This window comes from Homo sapiens, chromosome 6, assembly GCF_000001405.40.
Source record: "Homo sapiens chromosome 6, GRCh38.p14 Primary Assembly".
In the NCBI taxonomy this organism is placed as follows: domain Eukaryota; kingdom Metazoa; phylum Chordata; class Mammalia; order Primates; family Hominidae; genus Homo; species Homo sapiens.
In genome coordinates this window covers 160,611,077-160,636,424 of record NC_000006.12, presented here as the reverse complement: position 1 = coordinate 160,636,424, position 25,348 = coordinate 160,611,077, and the positions used below count along the sequence as shown (strand labels likewise).

The 25,348-nt window shown below is 44.8% G+C and overlaps 1 protein-coding gene across 1 annotated transcript in view; it reads left to right on the top strand.

Annotated features, from left to right (window-relative positions):
* LPA (lipoprotein(a)) overlaps positions 1–25,348 on the top strand; it is a 132,794-nt gene that overhangs the window by 27,851 nt on the left and 79,595 nt on the right. The window contains exons 7-16 of the mRNA NM_005577.4: positions 1,121–1,302; positions 2,513–2,672; positions 6,670–6,851; positions 8,059–8,218; positions 12,214–12,395; positions 13,603–13,762; positions 17,760–17,941; positions 19,149–19,308; positions 23,312–23,493; positions 24,704–24,863. Coding sequence (NP_005568.2) covers positions 1,121–1,302; positions 2,513–2,672; positions 6,670–6,851; positions 8,059–8,218; positions 12,214–12,395; positions 13,603–13,762; positions 17,760–17,941; positions 19,149–19,308; positions 23,312–23,493; positions 24,704–24,863 — 1,710 coding nt within the window. The remainder of the gene's footprint in view (positions 1–1,120; positions 1,303–2,512; positions 2,673–6,669; positions 6,852–8,058; positions 8,219–12,213; positions 12,396–13,602; positions 13,763–17,759; positions 17,942–19,148; positions 19,309–23,311; positions 23,494–24,703; positions 24,864–25,348) is intronic.

Here is a 25,348-nt window from a genome sequence, read left to right as displayed (position 1 = left end):
CCAGTTGCTCATTGAACCAGCTTCCTGGAATGGAGGGTCTGGGGTTGAGACTAGGCCACAAGTCTAGAGTCTCTAGAGAGACAGTGTTGGAACCCCATGGCCCATAATACATTTCCCATTTTCTCAGGCAGCCAGAGGTCATGAATGTGAGGATACTGGGAGGTTGGAGCAACGTTCTTGGGAGGCATAAGGAAGAGCGAATGCTTCAAGATCCCCGCAGCCCAAACTACTCGCCTGCTTTGCCCCCTAATGCATTTTTCTCTGCTGCTCCGTAGCTGTCCGACCTCTTCAGATCTCTTAGTCCACCCTGCCGTCTTCCTTTATGCCATGGGTCCCACTGTTCTTTCAACTCATCCCCCTTTCCCTCAGTCCCGGAGTAGCTGCGGCCAGCAGAGGGTAGACTGAGAGCAGGAGAGAAGGACCTGCCTAGGAACCCCTTCTAGAGATACTGCATCCTGCCTGGGAGCAAGTTTTCCAGGGCAGCTTTGAGAAGTCTTGGAGAAACAAACCTACTAAACCTGACAGACAGTAATACTATTTGCACAATGCTTTTCTGTGGGAAAGGTAGAGCCTTTTCACTACGTATTGAGTACATAGAGTGTGAGGGTTGACCTGGAACGGCTATCCTCCTGGATGACGTGTGTTTTCTGAAGAACTACATGTTCGTTGCAACTCCCACATTAGAATATGAAGTCCTACCGAGAGAGATACGGAGACTAGACAGATACAGATGCATTTGCATGTGAATACACAATCCCACAATACAGACGTCAAAACCCATACCAGTTATTCCAGAGAGATGGATTGGGTAGGAGGCAGAAGGAGAATACTCTGATCGTTTTTCGGCCACGTGTGTGTGTTATCTCAGTGTTTCTAAGAAGCGTTTGCTACTTTAGATTTTTTATTTAAAAAAAATAGTAATAATCTATTAAGTATGAGAGATGTGCAGAGAGGATTAGTGATCGAGAGCCATTTTTGCTGGTGGCAATCATATGGTACTTTTAATGGGAATATTAGAAAGGCACCGGTAATGACCTTGTTGCAGCACAAAGGAGAGAGTGTGGGGTGCCCCTGCATGTTGTCCCACCTCTTGTGACGTGTATCGTTTTGGAATTTCCAGTGGCTTGATCATGAACTACTGCAGGAATCCAGATGCTGTGGCAGCTCCTTATTGTTATACGAGGGATCCCGGTGTCAGGTGGGAGTACTGCAACCTGACGCAATGCTCAGACGCAGAAGGGACTGCCGTCGCGCCTCCGACTGTTACCCCGGTTCCAAGCCTAGAGGCTCCTTCCGAACAAGGTAAGGAGTCTGTGGCCAGACATCTACACGCTTCGATGCTGGGATGAAAAGCCATGGAAATTCCCACTGATGCAGCCGCCTTCAATGGTAAACGGATGCTCGAGTGTTGCCGGAGTTCTGCCATGTTGGGGGAAGCCTCCGTGTACTCTCTGGGGGAGCCAGCGGAGTGATTTCTGGTGCAACTTGGGTGGGCTTTGTCTTTAGAATGGGCACAAACCTTCCAGGGTGATGGGCTTCACAACTCACCTCCTTCTAAAATGGGCTATCTCAGTGTCTTAGCCAAAATTTTTATTGTAACGTGCTGTCAGGTGTGTGATTCTTTCTGTCGCAGTAAGCTTTTCTGGGGATTTCTTCAAGTAGCCAGCAGTCAGTGCAATCTTCAGCATTGCAGATTTCAAAAAATGTGGCTCTGGAGCCTGTCATCCTCGAGAAACCTAACAGGGCTGCATTAATTCCATATGGTCCTGGGTCTATGGAGCAGTATATGAGCTCCCAATGCTCTAAGGCTCTTCAGTCCTAGGCTTTGAAGGGAGTGATTTCTCAGTGTTCTTAAACCTCTTTCTGATGGCACTTGTACCTGTGAGGGGTCTAGAGAGAAAGGTTAGTAGACTTCTCCTTTACTGCAATTCAGGATGCAGGGCATGAGAAGATTCCCTCCCTCCTCCAAGGGAAGAAGGTTTTGGCGTGCACACATCCTTGAGAAGCAAAGTGTCTTTGCCTTCAGTCAGATATATAGGATCGTTTTCTGCCCCATGGCCTGGAAGCCAGAGGCCTTGGCTTTCATGATCAACGATCTAGGGAAACATGCAAAATTTCCATGTCTTTCCCCTCCTCTGCCCTCGACAGCCAATTACCACCTGCATCCTGCATTGCCAAATGCAGTGCCCTTTGTATGAACATTCAGTAGAGTTTCATAGAAAGGTGCTACTTCGTGAGCGCACTTTGCAGTGAGAAGGAGTCTGTTCTGTTCTGTTTTTCTAAGGATTTCAGGTGAAATATTTCCTAGAACTTACTACAGTTCTAGATTGGTAGGAATCTGTAGGTTTGCTGTATGTTTTTTGGTTGGTTTTCTCCCATCCATCTGCCTACAGGTAAGGGAAAGATAACGTTCGTAATTCTCATAGACTCCTTTCTGGTTGTGTCATAAATGGCTTCACATATTTCGTTATTCTCAGAGATACTCAGTTTATTTCTTGTGTTTTCATTTCAGCACCGACTGAGCAGAGGCCTGGGGTGCAGGAGTGCTACCACGGTAATGGACAGAGTTATCGAGGCACATACTCCACCACTGTCACTGGAAGAACCTGCCAAGCTTGGTCATCTATGACACCACACTCGCATAGTCGGACCCCAGAATACTACCCAAATGCGTATGTCTTTGTTCTTTACCATAAGAGAAGAAAGGGCCAAGTGAAGTTTCTGTTACAAGAGATGTGTCTCAAGCTGAGTTCTCCGAACTCAACTTGTGACAGATGCAGATGGCGTAGCAAAATGTCTCAGGATGATTGCCTTGGAGCTAAGGGTCTGAGAGAAGGGAAATGTTAAGCTCCCTCTCCTTCCTCCTAGTTCTATTGAGCAGAAGGGAAATCTGGAGGTGAGGAGATCACATTATGAAGAAAGTCAGAATGACAAAGGACCAGACACTTAGATTACCCTTCCACAACACCAACTAAACGTCAATGGAGACTTTCCAGTTGGAATTCCGTTATTCTGGCTTCCACTTCCTGAAGGGAAGGTTGCGTTTGCCTTTTCTCTCTGGGTTCAAGAGGAAAGAATAGGTGCTTATTTATGGACAGGTGAATTGATCTGTTTCTATATCTACGTATATTCCGATTGTCAGAAAAACACTCGTTCCTAAGTACCAGTGGCCTGAAGGGATACAGGTTCCCAGCAAGAGAAGATCCAAGGAAGGAAGGCAGATGAGAGCCAGCACAGAGAGGGATGCTGAAAAGTAAAAGGGATGGGTGGATGGAGAGAAGCCCGGGTCTGACCACCCAATGGCCAATATTTTGGCCACAAGCGACTACCAGAGACATGGAAAAATGGTTTCTACATGTGGGACAACAGATGGTAGAGGACCTAGAGAATTGAGAGAGGGGCAATGATGGGCTCCACTCCGCAGATGCCTTGGCTTTCTTCCTGGATACCCTTCCTGCACTGAATAGCAAGGAGATGGAGCCCAAGCAGACTGTAGCCATCTTGCTGAATGGAGGAGAGGGATTGGAGTTTGGGATGACTGTGGTAGCTGAAATTTTTCTAGGTCTGCTAGAAATAAGAACTGGTTTGTGGAGGAAAAGAGCTCTACAAATACGCATAGAAGTCTCCTCCAGTCGTTGGCCTGACATGACGCTGCCTGTGCACAGGAAATGGTTCCACGAGAAAGTGTGGCAAAGAACATTTACTGAGAAACAGCAAGTACAAGAGCACAGGAAGCTCAATAAAGAAGAGAGAGATCACATAGCACTCTGGGATACTGGAGTTCTTCCCAGCTAGACCAGAGAGTCCTCACGGAGCACATTGCCAATTCAGTGGAGACCCCAGAACAGCCGTAATTTAAAGGTACACTTAGTATATTACTAGAATAAAGTCAGCTGCAGACAACCCCTTGCACAGCTGGAAAGCAAGTGTCCAAGCATCAAATCGGTTTCCAATCAATGAAGTGCCTGTGGGAGGAAATCTCAACTCTCTTTAGAAGTAAACAACAAAGTCGATTGCCTCAGCTATGCGGTATCCGCAGAGTGAGTCCTAAATTTAAAATCTGACTACATGTAGAAAAGCGTTTCGTGTGACCCATGACCAGGAAATAAATCGGGTAATACAAACAGGCTCAGGAATGAGAGAAATGATTAGAATTGCGTGAAAATTTGACATATCAGTATGATAACTGATTTCAAATATTTAAAAAAACAACATGCAAGAAAGCAGATATCATATCAAGAGAAATTAACAGTACAGAATAGCCAAATTAAATTAAAGAGCTAGTATAAAAAAAGTATGTCTTAATTGAAAAAAATTACTGTATGGCCGGCTGATCAAATTAGACGTTTCAGAGGAAAACATTACCCAACACACAATTCTAGAGAACCTACAGAATGAGCTACACACACACACACACACACACACACACACACTGAAAACACACCCATACTCACACACACGCAGAAACTCACAAGTTCTAACACACACAGACACGCGCACCCCTGAAGAAACAGTGAAATATAAAATTAAGCGAGCCTCACAGACATGTAGGAAAATATGAAAAGATTTCCTGCATGTGGGAAGCAAGTCACAGTAAAGAGCAAGGGAGTTTGGAATAGAAACAAATACCGGAATCAAGGATGGCTGATAACTTTTCAATTACGAAGAACATTAAAAAAAATCACAGAATCGTGAAACTCAAGGGATCATATAGGGAATTTCGGAAAAAAAACCCAACCTGTATGATGTACTTTTGTACATCACAGTTCGAAGGTAACAAGGCAAAGATATAATAAGAAGAAACCTGTCACGAGAAACTGGAGGAAAAAGAGCTGTGTCTTCCTACAAGTACACTGATACAAATTGCCAATGTGTTCACCTCAGAAACACTGGAAGCCAGATACCAGGGAATATTGTTAAAATGATAATCAGGAACAAAAAGAGATCAACCGGGAATGCTGAATCCAGCAATAAAATGCCTTGAAGATCATCCATGTCGGATAAATGCATATTGTGCACTGCCCCAAAGAAAGAAACCGGAAACTGTCAGAATTGGAAATCAGCAGGCTTATGTAACAAGAGAGGTGACCCGAAGGAATTAGGTAGAAGAAGAATTGAACAAGAAAGGAACTTTCTGCAGCCCACGTAATGAAGAATCCAGCAATTGGCAAATGTAGATAGATGTAAATGCAAAATATTTTCTTGATCAAATTTCTATATCTTTGTAAATGAGAGTTGACTACTTGAAACAAAATGATAGCAAGATATTTAACTTCAGCATATGTAGAGGTAAGAATTTGAAATGGTAGCATAAATCACGAAGGGATTAATTCGAAGTGTACCGTTGTAAGTTTCTTTACCTCATGCACGATGGTGTGTCATATTAATAAAAGGGTACTGTGCGGGTTCGAAGGGATATTGCAAATCCTAGAGCAATCACAAAGGTTTGAACTCTGAGGTTTTTGGTATAATAAGAATAGTCCATGCATTCAAAAGAGGGAAGCCAAGGAAGAACTAGAAGTCTTTCAAGAGCTCAGGCTCTTATACATCCAGTTGCTCATTGAACCAGCTTCCTGGAATGGAGGGTCTGGGGTTGAGACTAGGCCACAAGTCTAGAGTCTCTAGAGAGACAGTGTTGGAACCCCATGGCCCATAATACATTTCCCATTTTCTCAGGCAGCCAGAGGTCATGAATGTGAGGATACTGGGAGGTTGGAGCAACGTTCTTGGGAGGCATAAGGAAGAGCGAATGCTTCAAGATCCCCGCAGCCCAAACTACTCGCCTGCTTTGCCCCCTAATGCATTTTTCTCTGCTGCTCCGTAGCTGTCCGACCTCTTCAGATCTCTTAGTCCACCCTGCCGTCTTCCTTTATGCCATGGGTCCCATTGTTCTTTCAACTCATCCCCCTTTCCCTCAGTCCCGGAGTAGCTGCGGCCAGCAGAGGGTAGACTGAGAGCAGGAGAGAAGGACCTGCCTAGGAACCCCTTCTAGAGATACTGCATCCTGCCTGGGAGCAAGTTTTCCAGGGCAGCTTTGAGAAGTCTTGGAGAAACAAACCTACTAAACCTGACAGACAGTAATACTATTTGCACAATGCTTTTCTGTGGGAAAGGTAGAGCCTTTTCACTACGTATTGAGTACATAGAGTGTGAGGGTTGACCTGGAACGGCTATCCTCCTGGATGACGTGCGTTTTCTGAAGAACTACATGTTCGTTGCAACTCCCACATTAGAATATGAAGTCCTACCGAGAGAGATACGGAGACTAGACAGATACAGATGCATTTGCATGTGAATACACAATCCCACAATACAGACGTCAAAACCCATACCAGTTATTCCAGAGAGATGGATTGGGCAGAAGGCAGAAGGAGAATACTCTGATCGTTTTTCGGCCACGTGTGTGTGTTATCTCAGTGTTTCTAAGAAGCGTTTGCTACTTTAGATTTTTTATTTAAAAAAAATAGTAATAATCTATTAAGTATGAGAGATGTGCAGAGAGGATTAGTGATCGAGAGCCATTTTTGCTGGTGGCAATCATATGGTACTTTTAATGGGAATATTAGAAAGGCACCGGTAATGACCTTGTTGCAGCACAAAGGAGAGAGTGTGGGGTGCCCCTGCATGTTGTCCCACCTCTTGTGACGTGTATCGTTTTGGAATTTCCAGTGGCTTGATCATGAACTACTGCAGGAATCCAGATGCTGTGGCAGCTCCTTATTGTTATACGAGGGATCCCGGTGTCAGGTGGGAGTACTGCAACCTGACGCAATGCTCAGACGCAGAAGGGACTGCCGTCGCGCCTCCGACTGTTACCCCGGTTCCAAGCCTAGAGGCTCCTTCCGAACAAGGTAAGGAGTCTGTGGCCAGACATCTACACGCTTCGATGCTGGGATGAAAAGCCATGGAAATTCCCACTGATGCAGCCGCCTTCAATGGTAAACGGATGCTCGAGTGTTGCCTGAGTTCTACCATGTAGGAGGAAGCCTCCGTGCACTCTCTGGGGGAGCCAGCGGAGTGATTTCTGGTGCAACGTGGTTGGGCTTTGTCTTTAGGATGGGCACAAACCCTCCAGGGGGATCGACTTCAAAATTCACCTTGTTGTAAAACGGGCTACCTCAGTGTCCCAGCCAAAATTTTTATTGTAACATGCTGTCAGGTGTGTCACTCTTTCCAAGCCAGTAAGCTTTTCCGGGGATTTCTTCAAGTAGCCAGCATTCAGAGCAATCTTCAGCATTGCAGATTCTGAGAAATGTGGCTCTGGAGCCTGTCACCCTCGAGAAACCTAAGAGGGCTGCATTGATTCCATGTGGCCCTGGGTCTATGGAGCAGTACATGAGCTCCCAGTGCTCTAAGGCTCTTCAGCCCTAGGCTTTGAAGGGAGTGATTTCTCAGTATTCTTAAACCTCTTTCTGATGACACTTGTACCTGTGAGGGGTCTAGAGAGAAAGAGTAGTAGACTCCTACTTTACTACAATTCAGGATGCAGGGCATGAGAGGATTCCCTCTCTCCTCCAAGGGAAGAAGCTTTTGGCGTGCACACATCCCTGAGAAGCAAAGTGTCTTTGTCTTCAGTCAGATACATAGGACCGTTTTCTGCCCCATGGCCCGGAAGCCAAAGGCCTTGGCTTTCATGATCAACGGTCTAGGGAAACATGCAAAATTTCCATGTCTGTCCCAAACTCTGCCCCCGACAGCCAATTACCACCTGCAGCCCGCATTGCCAAATGCGGTGCCGTTTGCATGAAGATTCAGTAGAGTTTCCTAGAAAGGTGCTACCTCGTGAGCTCACTTTCCAATGAGGAATCTGATCTGTTGTGTTTCTCTAAGGTGTCAGGTGAAATATTTCCAAGAACTTACTACAGTTCTAGAATGGGAGGAATCTGTTGCTTTGGTGTTTGTTTGTTGGTCGGTTTTCTCACATCCATCTGCCTATGGATAAGGAAAAGAGAACGGTCGTAATTCTCATAGACTCCTTTCTGGTTGTGTCACAAATGGCTTCACATGTTTCTCTATGCTCAGAGATACTCAGCTTGATTTCCCGTGTTTTCATTTCAGCACCGACTGAGCAAAGGCCTGGGGTGCAGGAGTGCTACCATGGTAATGGACAGAGTTATCGAGGCACATACTCCACCACTGTCACAGGAAGAACCTGCCAAGCTTGGTCATCTATGACACCACACTCGCATAGTCGGACCCCAGAATACTACCCAAATGCGTATGTCTTTGTTCTTTACCATAAGAGAAGAAAGGGCCAAGTGAAGTTTCTGTTACAAGAGATGTGTCTCAAGCTGAGTTCTCCGAACTCAACTTGTGACAGATGCAGATGGCGTAGCAAAATGTCTCAGGATGATTGCCTTGGAGCTAAGGGTCTGAGAGAAGGGAAATGTTAAGCTCCCTCTCCTTCCTCCTAGTTCTATTGAGCAGAAGGGAAATCTGGAGGTGAGGAGATCACATTATGAAGAAAGTCAGAATGACAAAGGACCAGACACTTAGATTACCCTTCCACAACACCAACTAAACGTCAATGGAGACTTTCCAGTTGGAATTCCGTTATTCTGGCTTCCACTTCCTGAAGGGAAGGTTGCGTTTGCCTTTTCTCTCTGGGTTCAAGAGGAAAGAATAGGTGCTTATTTATGGACAGGTGAATTGATCTGTTTCTATATCTACGTATATTCCGATTGTCAGAAAAACACTCGTTCCTAAGTACCAGTGGCCTGAAGGGATACAGGTTCCCAGCAAGAGAAGATCCAAGGAAGGAAGGCAGATGAGAGTCAGCACAGAGAGGGATGCTGAAAAGTAAAAGGGATGGGTGGATGGAGAGAAGCCCGGGTCTGACCACCCAATGGCCAATATTTTGGCCACAAGCGACTACCAGAGACATGGAAAAATGGTTTCTACATGTGGGACAACAGATGGTAGAGGACCTAGAGAATTGAGAGAGGGGCAATGATGGGCTCCACTCCGCAGATGCCTTGGCTTTCTTCCTGGATACCCTTCCTGCACTGAATAGCAAGGAGATGGAGCCCAAGCAGACTGTAGCCATCTTGCTGAATGGAGGAGAGGGATTGGAGTTTGGGATGACTGTGGTAGCTGAAATTTTTCTAGGTCTGCTAGAAATAAGAACTGGTTTGTGGAGGAAAAGAGCTCTACAAATACGCATAGAAGTCTCCTCCAGTCGTTGGCCTGACATGACGCTGCCTGTGCACAGGAAATGGTTCCACGAGAAAGTGTGGCAAAGAACATTTACTGAGAAACAGCAAGTACAAGAGCACAGGAAGCTCAATAAAGAAGAGAGAGATCACATAGCACTCTGGGATACTGGAGTTCTTCCCAGCTAGACCAGAGAGTCCTCACGGAGCACATTGCCAATTCAGTGGAGACCCCAGAACAGCCGTAATTTAAAGGTACACTTAGTATATTACTAGAATAAAGTCAGCTGCAGACAACCCCTTGCACAGCTGGAAAGCAAGTGTCCAAGCATCAAATCGGTTTCCAATCAATGAAGTGCCTGTGAGAGGAAATCTCAACTCTCTTTAGAAGTAAACAACAAAGTCGATTGCCTCAGCTATGCGGTATCCGCAGAGTGAGTCCTAAATTTAAAATCTGACTACATGTAGAAAAGCGTTTCGTGTGACCCATGACCAGGAAATAAATCGGGTAATACAAACAGGCTCAGGAATGAGAGAAATGATTAGAATTGCGTGAAAATTTGAAATATCAGTATGATAACTGATTTCAAATATTTAAAAAAACAACATGCAAGAAAGCAGATATCATATCAAGAGAAATTAACAGTACAGAATAGCCAAATTAAATTAAAGAGCTAGTATAAAAAAAGTATGTCTTAATTGAAAAAAATTACTGTATGGCCGGCTGATCAATTTAGACGTTTCAGAGGAAAACATTACCCAACACACAATTCTAGAGAACCTACAGAATGAGCTACACACACACACACACACACACACACAAACTGAAAACACACCCATACTCACACACACGCAGAAACTCACAAGTTCTAACACACACAGACACGCGCACCCCTGAAGAAACAGTGAAATATAAAATTAAGCGAGCCTCACAGACATGTAGGAAAATATGAAAAGATTTCCTGCATGTGGGAAGCAAGTCACAGTAAAGAGCAAGGGAGTTTGGAATAGAAACAAATACCAGAATCAAGGATGGCTGATAACTTTTCAATTACGAAGAACATTAAAAAAAATCACAGAATCGTGAAACTCAAGGGATCACATAGGGAATTTCGGAAAAAAAACCCAACCTGTATGATGTACTTTTGTACATCACAGTTCGAAGGTAACAAGGCAAAGATATAATAAGAAGAAACCTGTCACGAGAAACTGGAGGAAAAAGAGCTGTGTCTTCCTACAAGTACACTGATACAAATTGCCAATGTGTTCACCTCAGAAACACTGGAAGCCAGATACCAGGGAATATTGTTAAAATGATAATCAGGAACAAAAAGAGATCAACCGGGAATGCTGAATCCAGCAATAAAATGCCTTGAAGATCATCCATGTCGGATAAATGCATATTGTGCACTGCCCCAAAGAAAGAAACCGGAAACTGTAAGAATTGGAAATCAGCAGGCTTATGTAACAAGAGAGGTGACCCGAAGGAATTAGGTAGAAGAAGAATTGAACAAGAAAGGAACTTTCTGCAGCCCACGTAATGAAGAATCCAGCAATTGGCAAATGTAGATAGATGTAAATGCAAAATATTTTCTTGATCAAATTTCTATATCTTTGTAAATGAGAGTTGACTACTTGAAACAAAATGATAGCAAGATATTTAACTTCAGCATATGTAGAGGTAAGAATTTGAAATGGTAGCATAAATCACGAAGGGATTAATTCGAAGTGTACCGTTGTAAGTTTCTTTACCTCATGCACGATGGTGTGTCATATTAATAAAAGGGTACTGTGCGGGTTCGAAGGGATATTGCAAATCCTAGAGCAATCACAAAGGTTTGAACTCTGAGGTTTTTGGTATAATAAGAATAGTCCATGCATTCAAAAGAGGGAAGCCAAGGAAGAACTAGAAGTCTTTCAAGAGCTCAGGCTCTTATACATCCAGTTGCTCATTGAACCAGCTTCCTGGAATGGAGGGTCTGGGGTTGAGACTAGGCCACAAGTCTAGAGTCTCTAGAGAGACAGTGTTGGAACCCCATGGCCCATAATACATTTCCCATTTTCTCAGGCAGCCAGAGGTCATGAATGTGAGGATACTGGGAGGTTGGAGCAACGTTCTTGGGAGGCATAAGGAAGAGCGAATGCTTCAAGATCCCCGCAGCCCAAACTACTCGCCTGCTTTGCCCCCTAATGCATTTTTCTCTGCTGCTCCGTAGCTGTCCGACCTCTTCAGATCTCTTAGTCCACCCTGCCGTCTTCCTTTATGCCATGGGTCCCACTGTTCTTTCAACTCATCCCCCTTTCCCTCAGTCCCGGAGTAGCTGCGGCCAGCAGAGGGTAGACTGAGAGCAGGAGAGAAGGACCTGCCTAGGAACCCCTTCTAGAGATACTGCATCCTGCCTGGGAGCAAGTTTTCCAGGGCAGCTTTGAGAAGTCTTGGAGAAACAAACCTACTAAACCTGACAGACAGTAATACTATTTGCACAATGCTTTTCTGTGGGAAAGGTAGAGCCTTTTCACTACGTATTGAGTACATAGAGTGTGAGGGTTGACCTGGAACGGCTATCCTCCTGGATGACGTGTGTTTTCTGAAGAACTACATGTTCGTTGCAACTCCCACATTAGAATATGAAGTCCTACCGAGAGAGATACGGAGACTAGACAGATACAGATGCATTTGCATGTGAATACACAATCCCACAATACAGACGTCAAAACCCATACCAGTTATTCCAGAGAGATGGATTGGGCAGAAGGCAGAAGGAGAATACTCTGATCGTTTTTCGGCCACGTGTGTGTGTTATCTCAGTGTTTCTAAGAAGCGTTTGCTACTTTAGATTTTTTATTTAAAAAAAATAGTAATAATCTATTAAGTATGAGAGATGTGCAGAGAGGATTAGTGATCGAGAGCCATTTTTGCTGGTGGCAATCATATGGTACTTTTAATGGGAATATTAGAAAGGCACCGGTAATGACCTTGTTGCAGCACAAAGGAGAGAGTGTGGGGTGCCCCTGCATGTTGTCCCACCTCTTGTGACGTGTATCGTTTTGGAATTTCCAGTGGCTTGATCATGAACTACTGCAGGAATCCAGATGCTGTGGCAGCTCCTTATTGTTATACGAGGGATCCCGGTGTCAGGTGGGAGTACTGCAACCTGACGCAATGCTCAGACGCAGAAGGGACTGCCGTCGCGCCTCCGACTGTTACCCCGGTTCCAAGCCTAGAGGCTCCTTCCGAACAAGGTAAGGAGTCTGTGGCCAGACATCTACACGCTTCGATGCTGGGATGAAAAGCCATGGAAATTCCCACTGATGCAGCCGCCTTCAATGGTAAACGGATGCTCGAGTGTTGCCTGAGTTCTACCATGTAGGAGGAAGCCTCCGTGCACTCTCTGGGGGAGCCAGCGGAGTGATTTCTGGTGCAACGTGGTTGGGCTTTGTCTTTAGGATGGGCACAAACCCTCCAGGGGGATCGACTTCAAAATTCACCTTGTTGTAAAACGGGCTACCTCAGTGTCCCAGCCAAAATTTTTATTGTAACATGCTGTCAGGTGTGTCACTCTTTCCAAGCCAGTAAGCTTTTCCGGGGATTTCTTCAAGTAGCCAGCATTCAGAGCAATCTTCAGCATTGCAGATTCTGAGAAATGTGGCTCTGGAGCCTGTCACCCTCGAGAAACCTAAGAGGGCTGCATTGATTCCATGTGGCCCTGGGTCTATGGAGCAGTACATGAGCTCCCAGTGCTCTAAGGCTCTTCAGCCCTAGGCTTTGAAGGGAGTGATTTCTCAGTATTCTTAAACCTCTTTCTGATGACACTTGTACCTGTGAGGGGTCTAGAGAGAAAGAGTAGTAGACTCCTACTTTACTACAATTCAGGATGCAGGGCATGAGAGGATTCCCTCTCTCCTCCAAGGGAAGAAGCTTTTGGCGTGCACACATCCCTGAGAAGCAAAGTGTCTTTGTCTTCAGTCAGATACATAGGACCGTTTTCTGCCCCATGGCCCGGAAGCCAAAGGCCTTGGCTTTCATGATCAACGGTCTAGGGAAACATGCAAAATTTCCATGTCTGTCCCAAACTCTTCCCCCGACAGCCAATTACCACCTGCAGCCCGCATTGCCAAATGCGGTGCCGTTTGCATGAAGATTCAGTAGAGTTTCCTAGAAAGGTGCTACCTCGTGAGCTCACTTTCCAATGAGGAATCTGATCTGTTGTGTTTCTCTAAGGTGTCAGGTGAAATATTTCCAAGAACTTACTACAGTTCTAGAATGGGAGGAATCTGTTGCTTTGGTGTTTGTTTGTTGGTCGGTTTTCTCACATCCATCTGCCTATGGATAAGGAAAAGAGAACGGTCGTAATTCTCATAGACTCCTTTCTGGTTGTGTCACAAATGGCTTCACATGTTTCTCTATGCTCAGAGATACTCAGCTTGATTTCCCGTGTTTTCATTTCAGCACCGACTGAGCAAAGGCCTGGGGTGCAGGAGTGCTACCATGGTAATGGACAGAGTTATCGAGGCACATACTCCACCACTGTCACAGGAAGAACCTGCCAAGCTTGGTCATCTATGACACCACACTCGCATAGTCGGACCCCAGAATACTACCCAAATGCGTATGTCTTTGTTCTTTACCATAAGAGAAGAAAGGGCCAAGTGAAGTTTCTGTTACAAGAGATGTGTCTCAAGCTGAGTTCTCCGAACTCAACTTGTGACAGATGCAGATGGCGTAGCAAAATGTCTCAGGATGATTGCCTTGGAGCTAAGGGTCTGAGAGAAGGGAAATGTTAAGCTCCCTCTCCTTCCTCCTAGTTCTATTGAGCAGAAGGGAAATCTGGAGGTGAGAAGATCACATTATGAAGAAAGTCAGAATGACAAAGGACCAGACACTTAGATTACCCTTCCACAACACCAACTAAACGTCAATGGAGACTTTCCAGTTGGAATTCCGTTATTCTGGCTTCCACTTCCTGAAGGGAAGGTTGCGTTTGCCTTTTCTCTCTGGGTTCAAGAGGAAAGAATAGGTGCTTATTTATGGACAGGTGAATTGATCTGTTTCTATATCTACGTATATTCCGATTGTCAGAAAAACACTCGTTCCTAAGTACCAGTGGCCTGAAGGGATACAGGTTCCCAGCAAGAGAAGATCCAAGGAAGGAAGGCAGATGAGAGTCAGCACAGAGAGGGATGCTGAAAAGTAAAAGGGATGGGTGGATGGAGAGAAGCCCGGGTCTGACCACCCAATGGCCAATATTTTGGCCACAAGCGACTACCAGAGACATGGAAAAATGGTTTCTACATGTGGGACAACAGATGGTAGAGGACCTAGAGAATTGAGAGAGGGGCAATGATGGGCTCCACTCCGCAGATGCCTTGGCTTTCTTCCTGGATACCCTTCCTGCACTGAATAGCAAGGAGATGGAGCCCAAGCAGACTGTAGCCATCTTGCTGAATGGAGGAGAGGGATTGGAGTTTGGGATGACTGTGGTAGCTGAAATTTTTCTAGGTCTGCTAGAAATAAGAACTGGTTTGTGTGGAGGAAAAGAGCTCTACAAATACGCATAGAAGTCTCCTCCAGTCGTTGGCCTGACATGACGCTGCCTGTGCACAGGAAATGGTTCCACGAGAAAGTGTGGCAAAGAACATTTACTGAGAAACAGCAAGTACAAGAGCACAGGAAGCTCAATAAAGAAGAGAGAGATCACATAGCACTCTGGGATACTGGAGTTCTTCCCAGCTAGACCAGAGAGTCCTCACGGAGCACATTGCCAATTCAGTGGAGACCCCAGAACAGCCGTAATTTAAAGGTACACTTAGTATATTACTAGAATAAAGTCAGCTGCAGACAACCCCTTGCACAGCTGGAAAGCAAGTGTCCAAGCATCAAATCGGTTTCCAATCAATGAAGTGCCTGTGAGAGGAAATCTCAACTCTCTTTAGAAGTAAACAACAAAGTCGATTGCCTCAGCTATGCGGTATCCGCAGAGTGAGTCCTAAATTTAAAATCTGACTACATGTAGAAAAGCGTTTCGTGTGACCCATGACCAGGAAATAAATCGGGTAATACAAACAGGCTCAGGAATGAGAGAAATGATTAGAATTGCGTGAAAATTTGACATATCAGTATGATAACTGATTTCAAATATTTAAAAAAACAACATGCAAGAAAGCAGATATCATATCAAGAGAAATTAACAGTACAGAATAGCCAAATTAAATTAAAGAGGTAGTATAAAAAAAGTATGTCTTAATTGAAAAAAATTACTGTATGGCCGGCTGATCAATTTAGACGTTTCAGAGGAAAACATTACCCAACACACAATTCTAGAGAACCTACAGAATGAGCTACACACACACACACACACACACACACAAACTGAAAACACACCCATACTCACACACACGCAGAAACTCACAAGTTCTAACACACACAGACACGCGCACCCCTGAAGAAACAGTGAAATATAAAATTAAGCGAGCCTCACAGACATGTAGGAAAATATGAAAAGATTTCCTGCATGTGGGAAGCAAGTCACAGTAAAGAGCAAGGGAGTTTGGAATAGAAACAAATACCGGAATCAAGGATGGCTGATAACTTTTCAATTACGAAGAACATTAAAAAAAATCACAGAATCGTGAAACTCAAGGGATCACATAGGGAATTTCGGAAAAAAAACCCAACCTGTATGATGTACTTTTGTACATCACAGTTCGAAGGTAACAAGGCAAAGATATAATAAGAAGAAACCTGTCACGAGAAACTGGAGGAAAAAGAGCTGTGTCTTCCTACAAGTACACTGATACAAATTGCCAATGTGTTCACCTCAGAAACACTGGAAGCCAGATACCAGGGAATATTGTTAAAATGATAATCAGGAACAAAAAGAGATCAACCGGGAATGCTGAATCCAGCAATAAAATGCCTTGAAGGTCATCCATGTCGGATAAATGCATATTGTGCACTGCCCCAAAGAAAGAAACCGGAAACTGTAAGAATTGGAAATCAGCAGGCTTATGTAACAAGAGAGGTGACCCGAAGGAATTAGGTAGAAGAAGAATTGAACAAGAAAGGAACTTTCTGCAGCCCACGTAATGAAGAATCCAGCAATTGGCAAATGTAGATAGATGTAAATGCAAAATATTTTCTTGATCAAATTTCTATATCTTTGTAAATGAGAGTTGACTACTTGAAACAAAATGATAGCAAGATATTTAACTTCAGCATATGTAGAGGTAAGAATTTGAAATGGTAGCATAAATCACGAAGGGATTAATTCGAAGTGTACCGTTGTAAGTTTCTTTACCTCATGCACGATGGTGTGTCATATTAATAAAAGGGTACTGTGCGGGTTCGAAGGGATATTGCAAATCCTAGAGCAATCACAAAGGTTTGAACTCTGAGGTTTTTGGTATAATAAGAATAGTCCATGCATTCAAAAGAGGGAAGCCAAGGAAGAACTAGAAGTCTTTCAAGAGCTCAGGCTCTTATACATCCAGTTGCTCATTGAACCAGCTTCCTGGAATGGAGGGTCTGGGGTTGAGACTAGGCCACAAGTCTAGAGTCTCTAGAGAGACAGTGTTGGAACCCCATGGCCCATAATACATTTCCCATTTTCTCAGGCAGCCAGAGGTCATGAATGTGAGGATACTGGGAGGTTGGAGCAACGTTCTTGGGAGGCATAAGGAAGAGCGAATGCTTCAAGATCCCCGCAGCCCAAACTACTCGCCTGCTTTGCCCCCTAATGCATTTTTCTCTGCTGCTCCGTAGCTGTCCGACCTCTTCAGATCTCTTAGTCCACCCTGCCGTCTTCCTTTATGCCATGGGTCCCACTGTTCTTTCAACTCATCCCCCTTTCCCTCAGTCCCGGAGTAGCTGCGGCCAGCAGAGGGTAGACTGAGAGCAGGAGAGAAGGACCTGCCTAGGAACCCCTTCTAGAGATACTGCATCCTGCCTGGGAGCAAGTTTTCCAGGGCAGCTTTGAGAAGTCTTGGAGAAACAAACCTACTAAACCTGACAGACAGTAATACTATTTGCACAATGCTTTTCTGTGGGAAAGGTAGAGCCTTTTCACTACGTATTGAGTACATAGAGTGTGAGGGTTGACCTGGAACGGCTATCCTCCTGGATGACGTGCGTTTTCTGAAGAACTACATGTTCGTTGCAACTCCCACATTAGAATATGAAGTCCTACCGAGAGAGATACGGAGACTAGACAGATACAGATGCATTTGCATGTGAATACACAATCCCACAATACAGACGTCAAAACCCATACCAGTTATTCCAGAGAGATGGATTGGGCAGAAGGCAGAAGGAGAATACTCTGATCGTTTTTCGGCCACGTGTGTGTGTTATCTCAGTGTTTCTAAGAAGCGTTTGCTACTTTAGATTTTTTATTTAAAAAAAATAGTAATAATCTATTAAGTATGAGAGATGTGCAGAGAGGATTAGTGATCGAGAGCCATTTTTGCTGGTGGCAATCATATGGTACTTTTAATGGGAATATTAGAAAGGCACCGGTAATGACCTTGTTGCAGCACAAAGGAGAGAGTGTGGGGTGCCCCTGCATGTTGTCCCACCTCTTGTGACGTGTATCGTTTTGGAATTTCCAGTGGCTTGATCATGAACTACTGCAGGAATCCAGATGCTGTGGCAGCTCCTTATTGTTATACGAGGGATCCCGGTGTCAGGTGGGAGTACTGCAACCTGACGCAATGCTCAGACGCAGAAGGGACTGCCGTCGCGCCTCCGACTGTTACCCCGGTTCCAAGCCTAGAGGCTCCTTCCGAACAAGGTAAGGAGTCTGTGGCCAGACATCTACACGCTTCGATGCTGGGATGAAAAGCCATGGAAATTCCCACTGATGCAGCCGCCTTCAATGGTAAACGGATGCTCGAGTGTTGCCTGAGTTCTACCATGTAGGAGGAAGCCTCCGTGCACTCTCTGGGGGAGCCAGCGGAGTGATTTCTGGTGCAACGTGGTTGGGCTTTGTCTTTAGGATGGGCACAAACCCTCCAGGGGGATCGACTTCAAAATTCACCTTGTTGTAAAACGGGCTACCTCAGTGTCCCAGCCAAAATTTTTATTGTAACATGCTGTCAGGTGTGTCACTCTTTCCAAGCCAGTAAGCTTTTCCGGGGATTTCTTCAAGTAGCCAGCATTCAGAGCAATCTTCAGCATTGCAGATTCTGAGAAATGTGGCTCTGGAGCCTGTCACCCTCGAGAAACCTAAGAGGGCTGCATTGATTCCATGTGGCCCTGGGTCTATGGAGCAGTACATGAGCTCCCAGTGCTCTAAGGCTCTTCAGCCCTAGGCTTTGAAGGGAGTGATTTCTCAGTATTCTTAAACCTCTTTCTGATGACACTTGTACCTGTGAGGGGTCTAGAGAGAAAGAGTAGTAGACTCCTACTTTACTACAATTCAGGATGCAGGGCATGAGAGGATTCCCTCTCTCCTCCAAGGGAAGAAGCTTTTGGCGTGCACACATCCCTGAGAAGCAAAGTGTCTTTGTCTTCAGTCAGATACATAGGACCGTTTTCTGCCCCATGGCCCGGAAGCCAAAGGCCTTGGCTTTCATGATCAACGGTCTAGGGAAACATGCAAAATTTCCATGTCTGTCCCAAACTCTGCCCCCGACAGCCAATTACCACCTGCAGCCCGCATTGCCAAATGCGGTGCCGTTTGCATGAAGATTCAGTAGAGTTTCCTAGAAAGGTGCTACCTCGTGAGCTCACTTTCCAATGAGGAATCTGATCTGTTGTGTTTCTCTAAGGTGTCAGGTGAAATATTTCCAAGAACTTACTACAGTTCTAGAATGGGAGGAATCTGTTGCTTTGGTGTTTGTTTGTTGGTCGGTTTTCTCACATCCATCTGCCTATGGATAAGGAAAAGAGAACGGTCGTAATTCTCATAGACTCCTTTCTGGTTGTGTCACAAATGGCTTCACATGTTTCTCTATGCTCAGAGATACTCAGCTTGATTTCCCGTGTTTTCATTTCAGCACCGACTGAGCAAAGGCCTGGGGTGCAGGAGTGCTACCATGGTAATGGACAGAGTTATCGAGGCACATACTCCACCACTGTCACAGGAAGAACCTGCCAAGCTTGGTCATCTATGACACCACACTCGCATAGTCGGACCCCAGAATACTACCCAAATGCGTATGTCTTTGTTCTTTACCATAAGAGAAGAAAGGGCCAAGTGAAGTTTCTGTTACAAGAGATGTGTCTCAAGCTGAGTTCTCCGAACTCAACTTGTGACAGATGCAGATGGCGTAGCAAAATGTCTCAGGATGATTGCCTTGGAGCTAAGGGTCTGAGAGAAGGGAAATGTTAAGCTCCCTCTCCTTCCTCCTAGTTCTATTGAGCAGAAGGGAAATCTGGAGGTGAGGAGATCACATTATGAAGAAAGTCAGAATGACAAAGGACCAGACACTTAGATTACCCTTCCACAACACCAACTAAACGTCAATGGAGACTTTCCAGTTGGAATTCCGTTATTCTGGCTTCCACTTCCTGAAGGGAAGGTTGCGTTTGCCTTTTCTCTCTGGGTTCAAGAGGAAAGAATAGGTGCTTATTTATGGACAGGTGAATTGATCTGTTTCTATATCTACGTATATTCCGATTGTCAGAAAAACACTCGTTCCTAAGTACCAGTGGCCTGAAGGGATACAGGTTCCCAGCAAGAGAAGATCCAAGGAAGGAAGGCAGATGAGAGTCAGCACAGAGAGGGATGCTGAAAAGTAAAAGGGATGGGTGGATGGAGAGAAGCCCGGGTCTGACCACCCAATGGCCAATATTTTGGCCACAAGCGACTACCAGAGACATGGAAAAATGGTTTCTACATGTGGGACAACAGATGGTAGAGGACCTAGAGAATTGAGAGAGGGGCAATGATGGGCTCCACTCCGCAGATGCCTTGGCTTTCTTCCTGGATACCCTTCCTGCACTGAATAGCAAGGAGATGGAGCCCAAGCAGACTGTAGCCATCTTGCTGAATGGAGGAGAGGGATTGGAGTTTGGGATGACTGTGGTAGCTGAAATTTTTCTAGGTCTGCTAGAAATAAGAACTGGTTTGTGTGGAGGAAAAGAGCTCTACAAATACGCATAGAAGTCTCCTCCAGTCGTTGGCCTGACATGACGCTGCCTGTGCACAGGAAATGGTTCCACGAGAAAGTGTGGCAAAGAACATTTACTGAGAAACAGCAAGTACAAGAGCACAGGAAGCTCAATAAAGAAGAGAGAGATCACATAGCACTCTGGGATACTGGAGTTCTTCCCAGCTAGACCAGAGAGTCCTCACGGAGCACATTGCCAATTCAGTGGAGACCCCAGAACAGCCGTAATTTAAAGGTACACTTAGAATATTACTAGAATAAAGTCAGCTGCAGACAACCCCTTGCACAGCTGGAAAGCAAGTGTCCAAGCATCAAATCGGTTTCCAATCAATGAAGTGCCTGTGAGAGGAAATCTCAACTCTCTTTAGAAGTAAACAACAAAGTCGATTGCCTCAGCTATGCGGTATCCGCAGAGTGAGTCCTAAATTTAAAATCTGACTACATGTAGAAAAGCGTTTCGTGTGACCCATGACCAGGAAATAAATCGGGTAATACAAACAGGCTCAGGAATGAGAGAAATGATTAGAATTGCGTGAAAATTTGACATATCAGTATGATAACTGATTTCAAATATTTAAAAAAACAACATGCAAGAAAGCAGATATCATATCAAGAGAAATTAACAGTACAGAATAGCCAAATTAAATTAAAGAGCTAGTATAAAAAAAGTATGTCTTAATTGAAAAAAATTACTGTATGGCCGGCTGATCAAATTAGACGTTTCAGAGGAAAACATTACCCAACACACAATTTTAGAGAACCTACAGAATGAGCTACACACACACACACACACACACACACACACACAAACTGAAAACACACCCATACTCACACACACGCAGAAACTCACAAGTTCTAACACACACAGACACGCGCACCCCTGAAGAAACAGTGAAATATAAAATTAAGCGAGCCTCACAGACATGTAGGAAAATATGAAAAGATTTCCTGCATGTGGGAAGCAAGTCACAGTAAAGAGCAAGGGAGTTTATAATAGAAACAAATACCAGAATCAAGGATGGCTGATAACTTTTCAATTACGAAGAACATTAAAAAAAATCACAGAATCGTGAAACTCAAGGGATCATATAGGGAATTTCGGAAAAAAAACCCAACCTGTATGATGTACTTTTGTACATCACAGTTCGAAGGTAACAAGGCAAAGATGTAATAAGAAGAAACCTGTCACGAGAAACTGGAGGAAAAAGAGCTGTGTCTTCCTACAAGTACACTGATACAAATTGCCAATGTGTTCACCTCAGAAACACTGGAAGCCAGATACCAGGGAATATTGTTAAAATGATAATCAGGAACAAAAAGAGATCAACCGGGAATGCTGAATCCAGCAATAAAATGCCTTGAAGGTCATCCATGTCGGATAAATGCATATTGTGCACTGCCCCAAAGAAAGAAACCGGAAACTGTAAGAATTGGAAATCAGCAGGCTTATGTAACAAGAGAGGTGACCCGAAGGAATTAGGTAGAAGAAGAATTGAACAAGAAAGGAACTTTCTGCAGCCCACGTAATGAAGAATCCAGCAATTGGCAAATGTAGATAGATGTAAATGCAAAATATTTTCTTGATCAAATTTCTATATCTTTGTAAATGAGAGTTGACTACTTGAAACAAAATGATAGCAAGATATTTAACTTCAGCATATGTAGAGGTAAGAATTTGAAATGGTAGCATAAATCACGAAGGGATTAATTCGAAGTGTACCGTTGTAAGTTTCTTTACCTCATGCACGATGGTGTGTCATATTAATAAAAGGGTACTGTGCGGGTTCGAAGGGATATTGCAAATCCTAGAGCAATCACAAAGGTTTGAACTCTGAGGTTTTTGGTATAATAAGAATAGTCCATGCATTCAAAAGAGGGAAGCCAAGGAAGAACTAGAAGTCTTTCAAGAGCTCAGGCTCTTATACATCCAGTTGCTCATTGAACCAGCTTCCTGGAATGGAGGGTCTGGGGTTGAGACTAGGCCACAAGTCTAGAGTCTCTAGAGAGACAGTGTTGGAACCCCATGGCCCATAATACATTTCCCATTTTCTCAGGCAGCCAGAGGTCATGAATGTGAGGATACTGGGAGGTTGGAGCAACGTTCTTGGGAGGCATAAGGAAGAGCGAATGCTTCAAGATCCCCGCAGCCCAAACTACTCGCCTGCTTTGCCCCCTAATGCATTTTTCTCTGCTGCTCCGTAGCTGTCCGACCTCTTCAGATCTCTTAGTCCACCCTGCCGTCTTCCTTTATGCCATGGGTCCCACTGTTCTTTCAACTCATCCCCCTTTCCCTCAGTCCCGGAGTAGCTGCGGCCAGCAGAGGGTAGACTGAGAGCAGGAGAGAAGGACCTGCCTAGGAACCCCTTCTAGAGATACTGCATCCTGCCTGGGAGCAAGTTTTCCAGGGCAGCTTTGAGAAGTCTTGGAGAAACAAACCTACTAAACCTGACAGACAGTAATACTATTTGCACAATGCTTTTCTGTGGGAAAGGTAGAGCCTTTTCACTACGTATTGAGTACATAGAGTGTGAGGGTTGACCTGGAACGGCTATCCTCCTGGATGACGTGCGTTTTCTGAAGAACTACATGTTCGTTGCAACTCCCACATTAGAATATGAAGTCCTACCGAGAGAGATACGGAGACTAGACAGATACAGATGCATTTGCATGTGAATACACAATCCCACAATACAGACGTCAAAACCCATACCAGTTATTCCAGAGAGATGGATTGGGCAGAAGGCAGAAGGAGAATACTCTGATCGTTTTTCGGCCACGTGTGTGTGTTATCTCAGTGTTTCTAAGAAGCGTTTGCTACTTTAGATTTTTTATTTAAAAAAAATAGTAATAATCTATTAAGTATGAGAGATGTGCAGAGACGATTAGTGATCGAGAGCCATTTTTGCTGGTGGCAATCATATGGTACTTTTAATGGGAATATTAGAAAGGCACCGGTAATGACCTTGTTGCAGCACAAAGGAGAGAGTGTGGGGTGCCCCTGCATGTTGTCCCACCTCTTGTGACGTGTATCGTTTTGGAATTTCCAGTGGCTTGATCATGAACTACTGCAGGAATCCAGATGCTGTGGCAGCTCCTTATTGTTATACGAGGGATCCCGGTGTCAGGTGGGAGTACTGCAACCTGACGCAATGCTCAGACGCAGAAGGGACTGCCGTCGCGCCTCCGACTGTTACCCCGGTTCCAAGCCTAGAGGCTCCTTCCGAACAAGGTAAGGAGTCTGTGGCCAGACATCTACACGCTTCGATGCTGGGATGAAAAGCCATGGAAATTCCCACTGATGCAGCCGCCTTCAATGGTAAACGGATGCTCGAGTGTTGCCTGAGTTCTACCATGTAGGAGGAAGCCTCCGTGCACTCTCTGGGGGAGCCAGCGGAGTGATTTCTGGTGCAACGTGGTTGGGCTTTGTCTTTAGGATGGGCACAAACCCTCCAGGGGGATCGACTTCAAAATTCACCTTGTTGTAAAACGGGCTACCTCAGTGTCCCAGCCAAAATTTTTATTGTAACATGCTGTCAGGTGTGTCACTCTTTCCAAGCCAGTAAGCTTTTCCGGGGATTTCTTCAAGTAGCCAGCATTCAGAGCAATCTTCAGCATTGCAGATTCTGAGAAATGTGGCTCTGGAGCCTGTCATCCTCGAGAAACCTAACAGGGCTGCATTAATTCCATATGGTCCTGGGTCTATGGAGCAGTATATGAGCTCCCAATGCTCTAAGGCTCTTCAGTCCTAGGCTTTGAAGGGAGTGATTTCTCAGTGTTCTTAAACCTCTTTCTGATGGCACTTGTACCTGTGAGGGGTCTAGAGAGAAAGGTTAGTAGACTTCTCCTTTACTGCAATTCAGGATGCAGGGCATGAGAAGATTCCCTCCCTCCTCCAAGGGAAGAAGGTTTTGGCGTGCACACATCCTTGAGAAGCAAAGTGTCTTTGCCTTCAGTCAGATATATAGGATCGTTTTCTGCCCCATGGCCTGGAAGCCAGAGGCCTTGGCTTTCATGATCAACGATCTAGGGAAACATGCAAAATTTCCATGTCTTTCCCCTCCTCTGCCCTCGACAGCCAATTACCACCTGCATCCTGCATTGCCAAATGCAGTGCCCTTTGTATGAACATTCAGTAGAGTTTCATAGAAAGGTGCTACTTCGTGAGCGCACTTTGCAGTGAGAAGGAGTCTGTTCTGTTCTGTTTTTCTAAGGATTTCAGGTGAAATATTTCCTAGAACTTACTACAGTTCTAGATTGGTAGGAATCTGTAGGTTTGCTGTATGTTTTTTGGTTGGTTTTCTCCCATCCATCTGCCTACAGGTAAGGGAAAGATAACGTTCATAATTCTCATAGACTCCTTTCTGGTTGTGTCATAAATGGCTTCACATATTTCGTTATTCTCAGAGATACTCAGTTTATTTCTTGTGTTTTCATTTCAGCACCGACTGAGCAGAGGCCTGGGGTGCAGGAGTGCTACCACGGTAATGGACAGAGTTATCGAGGCACATACTCCACCACTGTCACTGGAAGAACCTGCCAAGCTTGGTCATCTATGACACCACACTCGCATAGTCGGACCCCAGAATACTACCCAAATGCGTATGTCTTTGTTCTTTACCATAAGAGAATAAAGGGCCAACTGAAGTTTCTGTGACAAGAGACATGCTTCAAGCTGAGTTCTCCGAACTCAACTTGTGTCAGATTCAGATGGTGTAGCAAAATGTCTCAGGATGATTTCCTTGGAGCTAAGGGTCTGAGAGAAGAGAAATGTTAAGCTGCCTCACCTTCCTCCTAGTTTTGTGGAGCAGAAGGGAAATGAGGAGGCGAGGAGATCACCTTATGAAGAAAGTCAGAATGACGAACCACCAAACACTTAGATTACCCTTGCCCAACACCCACTAAGCGTCAATGAAGACTTTCCAGTTGGAATTCCGTTATTCTGACTTCCAATTCCTGAAGGGAAGATTGTGTTTGCCTTTTCTGTCTGGGCTCATGAGGAAAGTTTATGTGCTTACTTATGGACAGGTGAATTGATCTGTTTCTATTTCTACCTGTATTCCAATAGGGAGAAAATCTCTTGGTCC